At 42.0% G+C, this 19,455-nt stretch overlaps 2 protein-coding genes across 14 annotated transcripts in view; one reads left to right on the top strand and one right to left on the bottom strand.

Moving 5' to 3' along the window:
* Positions 1 to 12,598, bottom strand: part of NAA16 (N-alpha-acetyltransferase 16, NatA auxiliary subunit) — a 65,764-nt gene extending 53,166 nt beyond the window's left edge. For 9 of the 10 annotated variants that reach the window (NM_024561.5, XM_006719866.4, XM_011535228.3 and 6 more), the window contains exons 1-5: positions 12,283 to 12,598; positions 6,935 to 7,019; positions 4,955 to 5,059; positions 3,041 to 3,198; positions 675 to 809 (exon numbers count right to left, since the gene is read on the bottom strand). In NM_024561.5, coding sequence (NP_078837.3) covers positions 675 to 809; positions 3,041 to 3,198; positions 4,955 to 5,059; positions 6,935 to 7,019; positions 12,283 to 12,336 — 537 coding nt within the window. In that variant the 5' untranslated portion in view covers positions 12,337 to 12,598. Of the gene's footprint in view, positions 1 to 674; positions 810 to 3,040; positions 3,199 to 3,783; positions 4,013 to 4,954; positions 5,060 to 6,934; positions 7,020 to 12,282 lie in introns of those variants that run through there. The other variant, XM_047430610.1, reaches the window with a different exon arrangement.
* MTRF1 (mitochondrial translation release factor 1) overlaps positions 11,827 to 19,455 on the top strand; it is a 95,670-nt gene continuing 88,041 nt past the window's right edge. For all 4 annotated transcript variants that reach the window (NM_001354074.1, NM_001354076.1, NM_001354073.1 and 1 more), the window contains exon 1: positions 11,827 to 12,157. The gene's annotated coding sequence lies outside the window, so the exon portion shown is untranslated. The remainder of the gene's footprint in view (positions 12,158 to 19,455) is intronic.

Genomic DNA, 19,455 nt, shown 5'->3' with positions numbered 1-19,455 from the left:
AAGTGAAGTGACTCAATCCACACCATCTCCATCAACTTGCAGCTGAATCCACATGTAGAATATTCTCCATTGAAACGTGGAGGCAGGCGTGGTGGCTCATGCCTGTAATCCCAGCACTTTAGGAAGACGAGGCAGGATGATCATTTGAGCCCAGGAGTTCGAGACCAGCCTGGACAACATCGCAAGACCCCGTCTCTTAAAAAAAAAAAAAATGGCCGGGCGCGGTGGCTCACGCCTGTAATCCCAGCACTTTGGGAGGCCGAGGTGGGCGGATCACGAGGTCGGAAGATCGAGACCATCCTGGCTAACACGGTGAAACCCTGTCTCTACTTAAAAAATAGAAAAAATTAGCCGGGCGTGGTGGCGAGTGCCTGTAGTCCCAGCTACTCTGGAGGCTGAGGCAGGAGAATGGCTTGAACCCGGGAGGCAGAGCTTGCAGCAAGCCGAGATCGTGCCACTGCACTCCAGCCTGGGGGACAGAGCGAGACTCCGTCTCGGAAAAAAAAAAAAAGAGAGAGAAAAATAATCCTACATTTTAACTGTTTCCAATTACGTCAAAAAGTTTTCCCGTTTTCCATAGGTTTCAAATACTTTAATTCACATTTGAGAGCAGGGACAATTTAGAAGTCAACTACTCCATTTATGAAGGTAGAAGGAAACATTAAAATTCTTACTTGCTGAGTTTGTCTAAATTCTTCCAACAGTTTTAGGGCCATATCATAATCTTTCAGCAAATGGTATGCAATAGCATATCCAATCCAGGAGGCACGCTGTGTGGGGCGCAACTGAAGAAGCTGGTATCTTGTCTCCTAAAAAAAAAGTTTTAACTTGCTAAATATTCTCTAAAACATTATTTCATCAGTTTTAAGAAAACAATCTAACCTTTAACACATTTCTAATGAACTATATCAACAAAGATCAGTTTCAGAATAAAATAGAAGTACTTTTTATGTTTCCTACCTAAAATACTAAAGTTCTACAATACCCTGTAATACTCACTGTGAGGCTGTCATTGAAACATCTTTGGGGCCCATGCCTTTGGACTGCCTTATTAAATTACATTTAAATAATGAGAATTTTTTTTTTTTGGTAACTAAATATTCTGTAAGAAGACTAAGATGGTTTTTTATTAAACTACATTTTGCTACTTATAAAACTATTATATGAATTACATGTATTTACAGTGTAAATACATTGTAATAATTGGCCAGACACAGGACAGACACAGCCAGGCGAAACACCCAAACATCTAATTATCCCTTATTTTTACTGTTGCTTCTCTGTCATTCCCAAATCCTTTATTAAAGTCTAGGTCAGTATTATTTTCTCTGCCAACTCTTGGCGTTACCCTGGGCAAATGCAACACTAACGTGTATCACCCATCCCACAACCTATCCTCTAAATCCCAAGATTTTCTAATCTTTAATGATTTTCTCCTCCACCCCATTCAGAGGCCCACTCCCACAGCCACACCCTAGAAGTTACTGCCACCCAGAAATCATAAATTTAGGTATCTCACTCTCTACCCACAGCTCCCATGCTGCCAACACTATCATTTGATGACACTCCTACCCTTGTTCTTTGACCACCAGTGTCTGTACTTCCTGGGTCCTTCACACTTTCACCACCAGCTCTCCTTTTTTTCTTTAGAGACAGAGTCTCCCTATGTTGCCCAGGCTGGACTAAACTCCTGGGCTCAAGCAATCCTTCTACATCAGCCTCTCAAGTAGCCAGGACTAAGACACGTAATACCAAGCCTAGCTCTCTTTTAACTTAATTTACTTCACAATCCACTTTAGCAGCCATTGTTTTGCCAATATTCTTAATTTCTATGCCTCATTCCTAAAGATAACTGATTTTAACTCCAACCACATCTAAGCTGCTAAACACAGCTGAAGAAAAAAATACACGCTTTGAAGAGTGGTGCCATTATTATTATAGTAAGTTCAGCAGAGCCCTTAAAGTGGCTGCAAAAATCTAGGCATGGGGTATGAGGGCTTATATGGCAGTAGAGGGCAAAAGTAAGAAGTATATAAATAATGTATTTAAAGAAAACTGTTAGAACCTAGTGGCCTCCTTCTCATAAGTAAGTAAGAGAATTCCATGTTGGACATACTGATTCTAGGATACGAAGTGGACTAAGCACATGGAGATGTCCAGGAGAGAGTTGAAGATGCAAATCTGAAGAGGTCTCAACTACAGAAAGACTGATTTATGGCAACCCTTCTCACGTTTTTAAAATATTTACTAACCAATAATTTTTAAAAGCTACTTTTATGTTTAGGTTTCCATTATAAAAGCCTTATTAGTTTATCAAATTTGTAAATATCAAACCCACAAATAATCTAGTACAGCAGCTGCACATAGATATTCCAGTTAAACAGTTATGGCCAGGCGTAGTGGCTCATGCCTGTAATCCCAGAACTTTGGGAGGGTGAGGTGGGAAGATCACTGGAGCCTAGGAGTTCAAGACTAGCCTTGGTAACATAGCAAGACCTTGTCTCTAATTTTTAAATAATTAATGAATTAAGAATGTTTTAAAAACCAGTTTTTTTTGTTTTGTTTTTTGAGAAAAAGTCTTGCTCTCTTGCCCAGGCTGGAGTGCAGTAGCATAATCATGGCTCACTGCAGCCTCAACTCTTAGGTTCAAGGGATCCTCCTGCCTCAACATCCTGGATAGCTGGGACTGCAGGTGTAAACTACCATACCGGGCTAATTTTCTTATTTGTAGAGACGGAGTCTGGCCTATGTTGCCCAGGCTGGTTTCTAACTCCCAGCCTCAAGCGATCCTCCCATCTCAACCTCCCAAACTGCTGGGATTACAGGCGTGGGCCACCACACCCCACCAGTTATTCTTTTTGAATACTCAAGTACAAAGTGCCACAACTATGACTGAGAAGGAAGGTCCCAAGCGACATACACCTTCTAATGAACAATCAAATCTACTTGATTTTGGCTTATGCTCACCTCATTCTGAAATGACACGCTCTTAAATTTTGTCTACTGTAAAATCATGTACATTTAAGAATGAAGTACTTACTCGGTAACCTTCAAGGTCTCTCATTTGGATCTGCAACAGTGAGAGATCCCTCAAAATTTGCAGGTTATCTTTATCTAATTTGAGGGCATTTCGGTAACATTTTATAGCTTCATCATATTTTTTATCAGAACGCTGCAAGAGTCCATATACATGCCAACCTATTAAGTTAAGGAAACAAAGACATACACAGACACTAGAATATTCTATGATACATATCTAATATAAAAGTTACATTAAGGAAATGGTATTTTGCCTGGGATTTGTTCAGAATGATCTGGAGTCTGGGGGAGGGGAATGGTGAGGGGAAGTTAAAGACGAAACCAGAGCAGGCTGGGTTGATAATTGTCAAATTGCTGAACCTGGGTAATGGCCACATGGGAAAGGGGTCATTATTCTGTTCTCTCTACTTGTGTACATGTTTGAAATTTTCTGTAATATTTTAAGTAACCTTAAAGAATTCTTAGCAAAAATTCTTCACATTTTCTACCCTCTATCCCATCACTTTCCTACCCCAGCAACTTCAACATTCACCTATTCTTCATCATGATGTCTTGAAACAGAATATATACAAAAACTGCAACTACTTTTTGAAACAAATTTAGTCAACCAATTCTAAAGTAATGTGTAACTATCACCTACTTCCCTAGTTATATTAAAGGCCACAAAAAATAAGTTGTATTTCTTATAAATTAAAGTATTAGCATATCTTGGAGCCAAAAGCCCCACAAAACTATCATACTTACATGCCCTTCTCTTCACTCTGGGGTAAGCACTGGGATAAAGAAATAAGTATTTAGTAATTTGAGAAAACTCTAAGCTAAATATGTGAAAACACTACTAAGATTATTCGTGTTCAATACCAGTACGTGGCTAAGTGAATTACATGTTAACAAACTAAAATGCAAGGGCAATATGTGAAAAAAAATGCAGATAAACATACAGATAAGCAAAAAAAAAAAAATGAAAATCAATTTCAATGCTCCACCCTTTAAAAAAAAATTTTTTTTTGGCCAGGCATGGTGGCTCACACCTGTAATCCCAGCACTTTGGGAGGCCGAGGAGGGTGGATCACCTGAGGTCAGGAGTTCGAGATCAGCCTGACCAACATGGCGAAACTCCATCTCTACTGAAAGTACAAAAAGTAGCCAGGCATGGTGGCACACACCTGTAGTCCCAGCTACCTGGGAGGCTGAGGTGGGAGAATCGCTTAAACCCAAGAGGTGGAGGTTGCAGTAAGCCTAGATCATGCCACTGCACTCTAGCCTGGGTGACAGAGTGAGACTCCCTCCCCCCAAAAAACAAAAAAAAATTTTTTTTTACACACTGGGATATTACCCAAAGAAAAACACAATTATAAAGATCAAATTAAGTAACAGCTATGTCTCTGTGTTAACAGAAACCAAGCTCAAGAACCAATATCATACTTATATATTAAGTAAAATCTGTTTTAAAATAAGTTTAAGTTTTTCTTCTCAAATGTCTAAAAGAAAGTTTAAGACACACAAATTTTAACATATGATTAACTAAAAGTCAGTATTTGGAATAACAGGAAAGTATTACCCAGTTAATTATGTTTAAGAAAAAAATGGGTTTCAAGTCACAATTACCAAAGTAACTTTTCTCCAACACTAAGCACAACAGAAGTAAGCACATTTTATAGAGATTTCCTTTAAAATATTCCAATAAATAAACACGGGGTAGGGAACAAATGAAACTAATATAGGAGGAGGGGCACAAGCAAAAAAGAAACTAGTATTACAAAATGTTGATAATGATTATAGTTGAGTAATGGATACACAGAGTTCATTAAATTCTCTCTTCTACGTAGGTTTGGAATTTTCATAGTACAAATTTAATTTGAATTAGGAAAAAACTAGCTAAAACATAAACTATTTAACTACTGCAAAAGGATACAGACATGACTCTTGACATCATTACGAAGTCCTTTACGAACAAACTCATAAGCTTCTTCTTTTTTTCCTAAACAGTTCAGTGTTAATCCTTTCATAGCCAAAGTCTCTGAAAAATAATTTTTAAACTCTATTTACAAATGACACAAAATTATTCTCTTATTCTCTTAATAGTACTTTAATAGTTGAGATCTGAAGGATTACTATGGCTCCAATTCATCTTTTTAATCTCACAGTTTGAACTTCTCTCCAAGTAGAAAAAGTAAAACTACATTTAAATATTTACTTAAAGCTTAGCAGCCCAAGTCCTTTTCTGAAATTCCTTAGTTTCAGAGTTGCTAAAATGGTTTCTGCCCTTCACAAGACTCTGTAAAAGTGGTTGATATTATTCTGCTGAAAAAATTAACAAAGCAGGCCAGGTGCAATGGCTCACGCCTGTAATCCCAGCACTCAGGGAGGCTGAGGCGGGTGGATCATCTGAGGTCAAGAGTTCGAGACCAGCCTGGCCAACACAGCAAAACCCCGTCTCTACTAAACAAAAATTAGCTAGGCATGGTGGCATGTGCCTGTAATCCCAGCTACTTGGAAGGCTGAGGCAGGAGCACTGCTTGAACCCAGGAGGCAGAGGTTGCAGTGAGCCAAGATTGTGCCACTGTACTCCAGCCTGGGCAACAAGAGCGAGACTCTGTCTTAAAAAAAAAAAAAAAAATTACAAAGCAGACATGAGTCTTAATGGAATTAAATCTACCATAGCAGTTCCACAGCTCTTACCTAAGGTCAATTCTAATCAATCATCAATCTGATTTACAACCACACAAAAACACTCAATCTACCTTAATAAAGACAAATACATAATTTAAAAATCACTAATCACTTTATTCAATATTGGAACAGACTTCATTTTTGATAGCAAGTTTATTCCAACAAATTATACTTAGGCTAATTAACATCAGTTCACATTTCAACAGCACAACACTGGATGATGGTAGTGGCAACAAAAAACATGTAAGGAAGTTAATAAAAGATGGTTTAGGATGAAATAATTCTCTGAATTATCCACAAGAAGGGAATTACACAAGAAGAATGATTTTCAAACTCTATGGTATTCAGAACATGGTGATCCTGTGGCCCAAACCCCGCTCCAACACCTTTTATCTGTTTTACATATTGAACTTTCCCACAGGCACCATTTGGATAAAGCTTCCACAGCTAAAAAGCTTGAAAACAAGCTTTAAAATTAATTCTATGAAATGAAGATTTCTTTCCATTTCCTTCAAAGAATCTTTTAAATGTTGTTGGAAAAGTGAGCAAGGTCAGCCTATTTTCCCAATAAGATGATCTCAACCATTATCCAAGTCTGATACTGAGTAATCTCAACCAGCTTTGCTATGCTACAGGATCATTATTTTCATGTCTATCCTGATCCACCCTTCTAACACTGGCTGTTACTGAAAAAGGACACAACCAGAAAATACAAACTTTATTAACACCAGTGTTAGAAAACAACTCAAAATATACAATCTAATGGTAAATTAGTAATATCATATGTAAACGTCAGCACATACTAAAAAAAAACAAAACAAAACACATCTACCAAAGAATAAAGTGCAGGTGACCATATCTTCATACTTCTATATTGCAAATTTTGTCCTAATTTTACACACAGGAAACCAAGGTATAAACTTTAAATTCTATTCAAAGTAATAAAGGAAATCAGGTCCATAAAAATACTGATACATACTTTCTCCAATTTTTTCCCCAATAGATAAACGAACCATCCTAATCTTATCCTTAAGTATACATACTTAAGGATAATACAGGTAATCTAGAAGACTCATATAAAGCATTAAAAAAATGCTGAACATTTATGCACTCTAATAGAGAACTGCAAGGCCCTGGAATCGGGGAAATACTCTTCTTTCACTGTTAATGCCTGGTTTTAGAATTTGATTTCCCTAAAGCAATCTCTCACATGAGACAATACCTCCATGTTCAGCAAATTTTGGGTTCGACAGAATCATCTTGCAAAACTTGAGGCCATTTTTGTACTGCTTCTGTTCATAACATTTCTGTAAAGAAATATGAACAAAAGTTATTTTATCAAATGAATACATAATGGAGCAACTTCTCACAGCATCATATATTCTAAACTCAAGATCCAAAATTAGGTCTAAAATGTGATAGAAAGGATATCACTTACAAACATGCAGTGTACTTTTGTTACCTATTCTTGTCAAATTGTTCTAAAATCTACATATTTTCATTTTTATAAAAGACCATGAAAAAAGACATTTAAAAAACAGGAAATGTGGCTCAGCAAGGTGGCTCACGCTTGTAATTCCAGCACTTTGGGAGGCAAAGGTGGGCGGATCGCTTGAGCTCAGGAGTTCGAGACCAACCTGGCCAACATGGTGAAACCGTCTCTACTAAAAATACAAAAATTAGCTGGGTGTGGTGGTGCGTGCCTGTAATCCCAGCTACTCAGGAGGCTTAGGCAGGAGAATCGCTTGAACGCAGGAGGCAGAGGTTGCAGTGAGCAGAGATCACACCACTGCACTCCAGCCTGGGAAACAGAGCGAGACTCTGTCTCAAAAAAAAAAAAAAAAAAATTACAAAAATTAGCCAGACGTGGTGGCGCATGCCTGTAATCCCAGCTACTTGGGTGGCTGAGGCAGGAGAATCACCTGAACCCAGGAGCTGGAAGCTGCAGTGAGCCGAGATCATGCCACTGCACTCCAGCCTGGGCGACTGAATGAGACCCTGTCTCAAAACAAACAAACAGAAAAAAATGACAATTCACCAATCAATACTGCCACAGAATTTTTTATTTTGTTTCCCTTTCCTAGTACACAGAATTTTTTAATTCAAAATAATTCCAATGCTTTGGGAGGCCAAGGCGAGAGGACTGCTTGAGCCCAGAAGTTCAAGACCAGCCTGGGGAATAAAGCAAGATCTCATCTCTACAAAAAAATTAAAAATTCCTCAGGCGTGGTGGTGCACATCTGTGGTCCTAACTGCTTGGGAGGCTGAGGTGGGAGGATCACTTGAGCCCACGAGGCTGAGGCTGCAGTAAGGCATGACTGTGCCACTGCACTCAGCCTGGGCAGTAGAGCAAGACACCATCTCAAAAAAAAAATTTAAGCAAAAACATATGTGGCAACAGAAAAATACCAGAAACTGCACTAAAAGCCTTTGCTACCGCAAGAATGAAACCAAAGTGCATGGGTGTGTGCACGCATACACACACACACACAAATACTACCACTTATTGAGCAGCTATGATATGTCTGTAAAAAATTTGTAATCTCTTACTTAATACCAATTCTTTAATGTAGGTGTCATTACTTCCACTTCAGAGATGTGGAAACTGAAACTCCAGAGGTTCAAAAACTTGTTTATAAGCTGCTCAGCTTAGCTGCAAACTCTGATCTTACTCCAAAGACCATCATTAGTCCAATGCAAGGATAAGCAACATCTTTATTTCCGAATGCCACCAGCCAGGGTACACAATTAACATCTCTCCCTGGCAGCCACTGATGCGAAGAACACCCCATTGCTTTCCACTCTTCCCTGGCTTACATTGTTCAGTCACACTGGGTGTTAAATTACTCAACATGCCAAGCTTATCCCCACCTCAGGCCTCCTACACTTGTGTTCCTTCTGCCTGAATTGCTTTCCTAGATCTTCCCATGGATGGTTCCTCATTATCCAAGTCTCACATGTCCCCTACTTGCCCACTTTATCAAATACTCCCATCCTCCTTCCTTCCCCAACATATTCTCTACCATGTTACTCTATTTTCCACACAGTGCTATCATTTCCTGAAATCTTATTTATGCTATTATTTAGTGTCTGTCTTCCCCACCATCATATAATGGATCCTTAGAACAATGATCTCACCTATCTTTCTTATTTATTTTTTAGAGACAGTCTCACTCTGTTGCCCAAGCTGGTGTGCAGTGACACAATCACCATAACCTCAAACTGCTGAGCTCAAGTGATCTTCCCACCTTAGCCTCCTGAGTGGATAGGAAGGACTACAGGTGTGTGCCATCATGCCTGGCTAAATTTTTTTTTATTTTTTTATTTTTGGTAGAGATGAAGTCTCACTATGTTGGTCTTTTGCTCCTGGGCTCAAGTGATCCTAGCTCCCACCTCAGCCTCCCAAAGTGCTGGGATTACAGGCATGAGCCACTGCGCCGGCCTTAGCCTATTTTACATACTGCTGCATTGCCATGGCTAAACAAATAAGAAACTGCTCCATAAATACAGCCTACTAAGTTCAAAGCAAAATGCCACTAGCAATGGATGAGACCATCTTTAAGCCTTGCAGCAGGGGCTGGATGTGGAAGGAATTAGAAAAGTCTTCATGGAAAAAAAGTTTATATTGAGGCCTCTTGACAGCCTCTGGGGAAGGGAACTAGGTGATTCTGCGATAAGGATAGGAGAGAAACCTAAATTTTGAACCATGTGAATATACTGCCTATTCCAAAAATATTTTAAAATAAAAAATGACAATCTGAGTTTGACTACAAGTCTGTCTCACAAATGACAAGAAAAAAACAAGAGAAAGGAACTACTGAGAAAGACAAATAGAAATACTAGTTTTTCTGACTTACCAGGTTATCTGAAAATAATAATAATCATACTGCCAATAACAGTAATAATAGTTAACACCTATTGGAAGCATTTACTATACGTCCAGACACTGTTATTTTTTTCCTTCATCCCATGACAGCTTATTTACTCTTTATTTAAATCCCAGGAAAGCCTATGAGATGCATGATATCCCCATTTAGATAGAGAAACTGAGGCATAGTTATAGAGTTTATATAACTATTAAGTGCCAGAGCCACAACTCTTAACCAGGTAGTCTGTCCCCAGAGTCCAAGTACTCGGGTAAAGACAAGTCAACCTGTAATCTCAGCTACTCAGGAGGCTGAGGCACGAGAATCGCTTGAATCTGGGAGGCAGAGGTTGCAGTGAGATCTTGCCACTGCACTCCAGCCTGGGCGACAAAGCGATACACTCTCGCAAAAAAAAAAAAAAGACAAATCTACATTCACTCAGGAACCATTATATACTAAGCAGAAATGATAGATTCTAGTCTCAACTTTGCTACTAACCAGACAGAGAACCTTAGCCACTTGGTCATTTACCATCTTTAGGTTTGTCTCTTTCTAAAAGAGGGCATGGAATACCTCCAAAATTCAACAAACTGTAATGCTAATTAATATCCAGTCTGGGGAATAAGACATGCAGATACAAGCCACGTGGAACACGTAAAAAACCAGCTGGTCAGTTTGTGTGGATGTGTTTGAATTTTTTCAATAGAAAAAATTTTACTGTTGGTGGCAAAGCACTTTAATCCACTAAACTTTAAAGATAATTTTATTACAGAGACTTCTGTTTGCTATGGAATTTGTTGTAGCCAAATTTTACCCACATTTATTGCAATTGTGAAATGATAAAATCATTCGTTTATGCAGAATCCTCCTAAATTCACGCAACCTTGTCAGAAACATTACATACCTAGATTTAAAAATGTTTAGCTTGGCTGAGCACAGTAGCTCACATCTGTAATCCCAGCAATTTGGGAGGCTGAGGTGGGAAGATCGCTTCAAGCCAGGAATTCGACAGTAGCCTGGCCAACAAACCGAGACTTCCATCTCAAAATAATTGATTTTTTTTTAGTGGTTACCATTTCCCAATTTATTTGGGGATAAACCCTACCTTTTTTGTAATTTAAGAATAATAATGTAACTTTTTCCTTATGACACTGATCCATGATTTGAACTACAAAAAACTCGTATAAAGAGAAAAGAAGTGCTGTCATCTTTAAAGTATGATGCCAAATGTCCTGAAATCCAACTAGCGATTTATAAATGATATTATCATTAATGTTTCAGATTCCCAGGGCAAAAAAAAATTAAAAATAAAAATAAATAAATTACTTCTCCAATTCCATGCTGTGTAAAATAAAAGGGCATGAGAAGTAAAATAAAAAAATACAAAGCCCAATGAAGCAACCTGCCACGTGCTTTAATTATTCGTATTTTTAATGTTCTCACATTTGTATCTTATTATTGGTTCAAAACTAAGCACCACATAATATTTAAAATTTTTATCCCATCTACTATGTATCCTAATCTGAAGACTAAGTGTGAAGTTTCTATCGTCTTGAAACAGAACAGCTACTATGAATTATCTGCCGCTGTTCATACTTAAAATTACTCTAAAATTAGTATTTTATTTATAGTAAAGTTAAGCAACAACTAACAGCCATATAGCCAACCCAGCTTTCAATAAATTCACCTTTAAACCTAAATGCATGTTTAGCAAATAAAAGCTTTTTTTCAGGTGAAAAGATAAACTAGAAAAGACAGTTACCTACTAACAATATTAGTTTAAAACCTAGGGTAGCCAGAGGATACTGAGGAAAGCAAAGGAATGCTGCCTCTTCTCCTTGGAAGAACAGAACCTGGAAAGCTACCAGGGACGCTGGCACACAGCCCACAGAAAACTGCCCACCCGGCTCCGCAGCGGTCATCACTACGGGGCCATTATTCAGGCTTCTGCTCCGCGATAAAGTAAAAATGCTCCCCTCAAATGCAAAACCAGCCAGTCCACGCGGCTTTAATTACTCAAGCAAGGCCTGTGCGACTAAAAAGCAAACAGCTGTTTTGAAGTTGGTGACAACTCAGAAACGCACTTCAAGTCAAATATTCACTTCCAAAGAGGTAAATAAGGTACATTACAAACAGGCAAACTTTTTCCCAAAGGGAGGTGGTGCCAGGCCTGGCTTCCTAAAGTTGCCGGTTTTATTTCCTCGTAACCAGGAAAAATTCCACCATCGCATCGATCCCGCTTTAATAGGTATGCGGGTGTGCTGTGCAATCTAACTAAACGCAAAGCAGAGAATGCAGAACGCAAAACACCTAGCCGAGGAGAGACTGGCAAAATAAACCACCGGGGGAGGATCCCTGAGGGGCTGCTGCGAGCCCGGCGCGGCAGAGAGCACGGCAGCCACTACCGGCCGAGGCGGCTGTGCCCGGGCACTGCGGAGAGCGGCGTGAAGTTTCTGGAAAGAGCGCGGCGGGGGTGAGGCGAGCCGCAGAAGACCGCGGAAAGGAAGCGCACGGAGGAGCGGCTCGGCAGCCCCCGTGGGCCGGCCGGAGCGGGAAAGTGGGGTCCCGCGACCTCCGAGGTAAACAAAGAGCGGTGGGCAGCGGAGGCCAAGCCTGGCCCGCGCCGGCCGCCGCCAGACCGCTTGCCCTTAAGGCCCGAGGACCCGGGGACCGGGGGGCGGCAGCGCGGCCTACGGCCACTCACCAAGATGCGTTTGAAGAGGTTGCTCTCCTTGGGCGGCAGCAGCACGTTCGGCATCGTGGCCGGCAGGGAGGCTAGGTGGCCGGCAGGGAGGCTAGGTGCCCGGGCGCTCCGCTTCGCGGGGGTGGGCACCGGGACGAACCGCTGCTGAGAGTCGGGCTGCGGGCGATGGATTAGTTCATTGGTCTACAGTTGCAATTGGGCAGCCTGGCTGTTCGGCACGGGTGGCAATGGAGAAGGAAGGCGGTCTGAGCAGGACACGCTTCCCCTGGGCTCCGCTTTTTGGCCAGCGGCGGCGGCGGCGGTTCCCGCGCACTGCAAGATGGCAGCCAGGGTCCGCCTCCCGAGCCGGATCCTGTGCGCATGCGCGGAGCGCCCTTTGGCGAGGGGCTGCGGGTGACTACGGGGGCGTAGCGGGGACCAACCGCGTGGATTTGCCTTGTGCTGCGGCTCTCCTCGCCGCAATCTCGGCACCCCCTGGGGCTCAGGCGAGCTGTCACCAAAACCTTGGAGTCCCATGGGGTGGTGAGTCACCACCCTCATTCACCATTGCTCCTATGCATCAGAACGCCTCATAAGACTCCTACTTATTGTCTGCTTCTCCTTGCAATAAAGTAATAAATAAAAACGAGAATTTTCTTTTAAGTAGAAAAGAGAAGACACTGACTTGTATTGCACTCTTGATAAGCTTGTGGCGCAAGATAATGTTAGTTATGACTCTGAAGAGTCAGAGTTTTTTGCATTTCTCCCCATTTAGGAATTTAAGTGTCCGATGCAAAGTAGACTTTTGATGAAAGATGAACTTGTTTTCTTTCCTTTTCCTCCTTGATTCAGACTCTAAGTAGAAGCCTTCTCTTTCCAGGGCAAACCAAACAAACATTTACAATCTTTGTTTTTGTTTGGTTGGTTGGTTTTGAGATGGAGTATCGCTCTTGTCGCCCAGGCTGCAGTGCAGTGGCGCTATCTGGGCTCACTGCAACCTCCGCCTCCTGAGTTCAAAGGATTCTCCTGCCTCAGCCTCCCGAGTGGCTGGGATTACAGGCATGCGCCACCACACCCGGCTAATTTTGTATTTTTAGTAGAGACAGGCTTTCACCATGTTGGCCAGGATGGTCTTGATCTCTTGACCTCGTGATCCGCCCCCGCGTCAACCTCCGAAAGTGCTGGGATTACAGGCGTGAGCCACCACACCTGGCCGGAATTACGGTTTTATAAGGCCACTGGTCTTCTGAGTCTACCTACCCTTTCTCTTCAGATGGTTCCCCTTCCTGAAAGCCATATAATAATGGGAGAAACAGGCTTCAAATTCAGGATCTTCCAACTCTGGGATACTCTCTACAACAAATAAAAGGCAGCATATTGATGGTAATGTGTGAGTCTAGAAAGATACAACAGTGGCAAGAATAAACCATACATTCAGTGTAGGGTTAGTAGTAAGGTGTGTGTAAACATTAGGTACATAAGTTTATTTATACATGTGCTGAATCTTAATGGGTGCATATTTCTGAGACTATAAAGTAATTGATGAGTAACTGCATTTAGTCGGCTGTAATCAGAACTGGGCTGCCCTTTTTTATTTTCCTTTTTTTGAGACGATGTTTTGTTCTTGTTGCCGAGGCTGGAATGCAATGGCGCTATCTCAGCTCCCTGTAACCTCCGCCTCCCAGGTTCAAGCGATTCTCCTGCCTCAGCCTCCCAAGTAGCAGGGATGACAGGCATGCACCACCACACCTGGCTAATTTAGTATTTTTAGTAGAGACGGGGTTTCTCCATGTTGGTCAGGCTGGTCTCAAACTCCCGACCTCAGGTGATCTGCCCACCTCGGCCTTCCAAAGTGCTGGGATTACAGGTGTGAGCCACAGTGCCTGCCTATTTGATTTTCCTTCTTTCTAGCCTAAGTTGGTTGGACATGAAAGAATCATAGGAGTCTTTTTTTTTCTTTCAATCTCCTACGTTTCACACATGATTTTAAAGCATCATAGGAGTCCTTTAAAATAGGGAAAGTACTGTCATTAAAATTGGGGGTCCACAGCAATCCCATTGCTGGGTATATACCCAAAAGAATATAAATTGTTCTACCGTAAAGACACATGCACAGCCAGGTGCAGTGACTCACGCCTGTAATCCCAGCACTTTGGGCGGCTGAGGCAGGCGGATCACCCTGAGCTCAGGAGTTGGAGACCAGCCGGGGCAACATGGCAAACACACACACACACACACACACACACACACACACACACACACTAGCTGGGCATAGTGGCGAGTGCCTGTAGTCCCAGCTACTTGGGATGCTGAGGTGCGAGGATCAATTGAGCCTGGGAGACAGGTTGCAGTGAGCCAAGATCATGCCACTGCACTCCAGCCTGGGCAACAAACTGCCTCAAAAAAAAAAAGGACACATGCACGTGTATGTTCATCGCAGCACTATTCACAATAAAAAGACATGGAAGTAACCTAGATGCCCATCGGTGGACTGGATAAAGAAAATGTGGTACACCATGGAATACTACACAGCCACAAAAAAGAATGAGACCATGTCCTTTGCAGCAACACAGGTAGAGCTGGAGGCCATTATCCAAAATGAATTAATGCAGGAACAGAAAATCAAATACCACATGTTTTCACTTACAGGTGGAATTATAAACACTGAGTACCCATGGACACAAATAAGGGAACAGTAGACACTGAGGCCTACTTGAGGGTGGAGAGTAGGAGGAGGGTGAAGATTAAAAAACTACCTATAGGGTATTATGCTGATTACCTGGGTGACAAGACTGTCTGTACACCAAACCCCCACAACATGCAATTTACCTGTGTAATAAACCTGAACATTTACCCCTTGAGTCTAAAATAAAAAATGGAAAGAAAAAAATAAAAGTGGGGGTTCAAGGGCCTATGTGTACTCTGCAGAGCTCCCAAGCTGCCCAAGCTGTTAGGAAGTAGGCAAGTATAGATGCTTTAGGAGCTTGCCTTAGTCGCACCTGTACTAGTGGCAGTCCCCCACCCGGAGAACTGAGCAAGCACACAGAAGTGCCTCCTCTCAGCACCCTCATACTCAACCACTGCCATAATTGCTAGCCACAGTTTGCTTACCACGGCATTACTAATTCCTGAAAACCTTTGGCTCCCAATTTATCTACATTGTCATTTATCTACATCATCAGAAGTGAAGGGTTACTCACGAAAAGAGCCAAACCTTCAGTGCGTCAGTCAAGCCCTCACTTGACCCTCATAGGACATGGACTTTTCTAGACCTATTTCAAAATGACAAATTAGATTTTTAAAAGAAATATACAAGAGAAGGGAAGAAAAGCATAGTACCAACTGTAAATATTTTGAAGACAAGGAACGATTATCTTTTATGAAAGTTTCCTGTGGGCCTCTTCCAGCCTTATTTACTACAAATCATTAACTATCTTCACTCTCTGTGGTAGCAGCTAAATCATCACCCTCATTCACCATTGCTCTCCCCAACCCCTAAATCAGCAGCCCAGGAAGGTTCTTCACGTGCACTCTGCAGCCTCCGACCCACTGCCAACTTCCACTTCCCAGGACACACAGTTCCGTGCCAGCATCTCCCAGGGAAGCGCAGTCACGCAAAGAAAATCTGCAATCCCAAATACTAGAAAGCAGCACTAGTTTGCTACTAGTTATAAACTATAGTTATATATAGTTATAAATACTCATATTTAATATCTTCTTCATCTGTCTTTCACACACCATACACACATACCTTTTGTATTAGTCTGTTCTCACATTGCTATAAAAAATTACCTGAGACTGGGTAATTTATAAAGAAAAGAAGTTTAATTGGCTCACAGTTCCACAGGCTATACAGGAAGCATGGCTGGGGAGGCCTCAGGAAACTTACAATCATGGTGGAAGGCAAACGGGAAGCAGGCACATCCTACATGGCTGGAGCAGGAGGAATAGAGTGAAAGAGGAGGTGCTACACACTTTTTTTTTTTTTGAGATGGAGCCTCATCTGCCACCCAGGCTGGAGTGCACTGGCATGATCTCAGTCACTGCAACCTCCTGGGTTCAAGCAATCCTCCTGCCTCAGCCTCCTGAGTAGCTGGGACCACAGGCATGCACCGCCATGCCCAGCTAATTTTTGTATTTTTAGTAGAGATGGGGTTTCACCATGTTGGCCAGGCTGGTTTTGAACTCTTGACCTTGTGATCCACCCGCCTCAGCCTCCCAAAGTGCTGGGATTACAGGCATGAGCCACAATGCCCAGCGGTGCTACACACTTTTAAACAACTAGATCGTGAGAACTCACTCACTATCATGAGAACAGCAAGGGGAAAATCTGTCCCCATGATCCAGTCACCTCCTACCAGGCCCCTCCTCCAACACTGGGGGTTACGATTCAAGATGAGATTGGGGTGGGGGGGGCACAAATCCAAACCATATCACCTTGGTTGTCTACACTAGTGTGGGGGTGAGGGGAGAGGGAGGGAATAGAAAAGAACACCAATCACGGTGCTGGTAGTTGTCATCCTGAACCTTATGTGTATAAAAGATGTAATGTATGCACAATCAGAAAGCCTAGATTAACCAGTAACTATAATCTTATTACTGACTTCCTGTTTAGTCTGGAACAGATCTTATTTCTACCTTTCAACAGAAAATGGGGTTATAATAACATGATAATGTGTTTCACAGCAGGGTTATGTGAATTTAATGCTTAGTCATTTCAAAGCCTGTGATAAAAAACAAATACTGTGTAAATCTGAACTCACTGTTTCTCAGGAAAAATGCTGAAGTCCTTTTGGGGCCATCATGGACATCCACCCAGATGCTCCTTCCTGGCACTTCAGACGGTGCATACCTCCTTTAGAATCATGCATAAAGTAAAATAACAGTAACCACATCTGTAAAGACCTTTGCAATTCCCAAAGCCCTTTTTACATATGTAATATGGGCCACTGATTCTTCTCGTTCAGCCTAGTAAAGACAAGGAGAGAAGAATCTGGAAAAGGATTTTCTCCACCCCATATACGTGCATGTCTTCCAGAGCCAGCTGGCAACCTAAAATCAAATAGTTTGCTGCTATTCCCACAGCCAATTTAACTATGTAATTAAAAGCTGATGGGAAAATAACTTATCAGGTTATACAACGTGTTCCACCCCAGACTCCCTGATGTTTCTGCTCTCTTCCATGTTCTTGGCTCTTCTTTCTTTCCTTTTTTTTTTTTTGAGACGGAGTCTCACTCCGTGTCCCAGGCTGGAGTGCAGTGGCGCGATCTCGGCTCATTGCAAGCTCCGCCTCCCGGGTTCACGCCGTTCTCCTGTCTCAGCCTCCGGAGTAGCTGGGACTACAGGCGCCCGCCACCACGCCCGGCTAATTTTTTTTGTATTTTTAGTAGAGACGGGGTTTCACCGTGTTAGCCAGGATGGTCTCGATCTCCTGACCTCGTAATCTGCCCACCTCGGCCTCCCAAAGTGCTGGGATTACAGGCGTGAGCCACCGCGCCCAGCCGGCTCTTTTTTCCGAGAAAGAAAGGTACTCTTATTCCTCCCTTTGAGTTCTTCATCTCATCCCTTTTTGCTTTTCCTCAAATTTTATTCATCAGTTACTCTCCTCCCAGTTTGCATGTTCTCTCTCTTTACATAGTTTATATCCTAGTGGGAGGAGACAGATTATAAACACATAAACAAATAGATAAGGTAATTCCAAACTGTATGAAGTCCTATGAGGGACTTAAAGCAAGTCCTATGAGGGACACAAAGCAAGGTCATTTGAGAGCAATGGGGGCTGAGGGAAGGACTACTTTAAACCAAGTACACAGGAATGAGAACCCTTTGGGGAGGTGATAATGACAATTGAACAGAAACCTGAGGATGAGAAGCAAGTTTGGCTGGGAGATCCTGGTGGGGGACCACATGTCGTGGGATGGCATATTCTAAACAAAGGGAACCACAGGCAAATGCCCTAATGCAGGAAGAAGATTGGTATGACGAAGGAATAGAAGGGAAAGGTGAGAACTTGTCTCTCCTCTCTGGTTAAAGGACGTGGCTGGAGTGTAGCGCAGGAGAAGTAAAGTGGTATGCAGTACAGTTGAAAATATAGACCAGGCTGTGCAGAGTTCACGGTCTCAGGCAGTGTGGGTTTTTTTGTTTGTCTGTTTGTTTGTTTAATCTTAAATTCAATGGGAATCCACTGAAACATTTTCAGAAGGCAAGTTACATGATCTGATGATTTAATTTTTTAAAAGTCATTCTGGCCAGGCACAATGGCTAACACCCATAATCCCAACTCTTTGGGAGGCCAAGGCAGGAGGATCACTTGAGCTTGGGAGTTCAAAACCAACCTGGACAACATAGTGAGACCCCGTCTCTACAAAAAATTTTAAAAATTAGCCAGACATAGTGGCATATGCCTGTAGTCCCAGCTACCTAAGAGGCTGAGGTGGGATAATAGCTTGAGCCTGGGAGGTCGACGCTGCAGTGAGCCATTATCACACAACTGCATTAAATCACTCTGACTACATGGGGAAAACAGATGAGAAATAGCTGGATATTTTTTAGGAAAGTGGCAACTCTATTGAATACTTAAGATTTGGCTTCTGTGCCCAACAGTTTTCTGAAAGTGTTTTCTGAAATATCACCAGTTCATTTGTTCTGCGTTGTGAAACCTGAAAAAGCCAGTCCTTCAAGATAAATCCTTAGTGTCTAACTGGGCCTGAATTGAAAATAGAGCCAATGGGCCATTTGCTGATTAGAGATCACACATGTACTCTGAGTTCCTTACAGGCTTTTCCTTAACTTTGCAACTTTCATAGCTGCCTGTTCCTGTTTAGGCACCTGAACCAACCAATAAGCTGTAACCTATGTCAACCAATCAAAACTCAGCAAACATCAGGCAATCAGATCTAAGCAAGTTTGCATCCTTCATCTACATAAATGGAGGAGCATGGGAACCTGGGTAGGTACTTTCTATATAAAAACAATCCCTCCCTTTGTTCTCTGGCATGTACCTTCCTTTTGTACCAAAGGCTGTGTCTCCCCTATTTGCAAACTGTTCATTGGAATAGTTTCTTTCTTCTAAATTCCTTTTCAGAGAATTTTTGTTCACAGTATTTATTGTTGAGTACCTACGATGTTATAGGCAGTCTTCTAACAGTCAAAAATATCTGCTCTCAGCGGAAGCCCAGGCACACGTCTGTAGTT

The sequence above is a fragment of the Homo sapiens genome, chromosome 13 (genome assembly GCF_000001405.40).
Source record: "Homo sapiens chromosome 13, GRCh38.p14 Primary Assembly".
NCBI classification, from domain to species: Eukaryota; Metazoa; Chordata; class Mammalia; order Primates; family Hominidae; genus Homo; species Homo sapiens.
The sequence above is the reverse complement of the archived record's forward strand: the minus strand, read 5'-3'. Positions and strand labels throughout refer to the sequence as shown.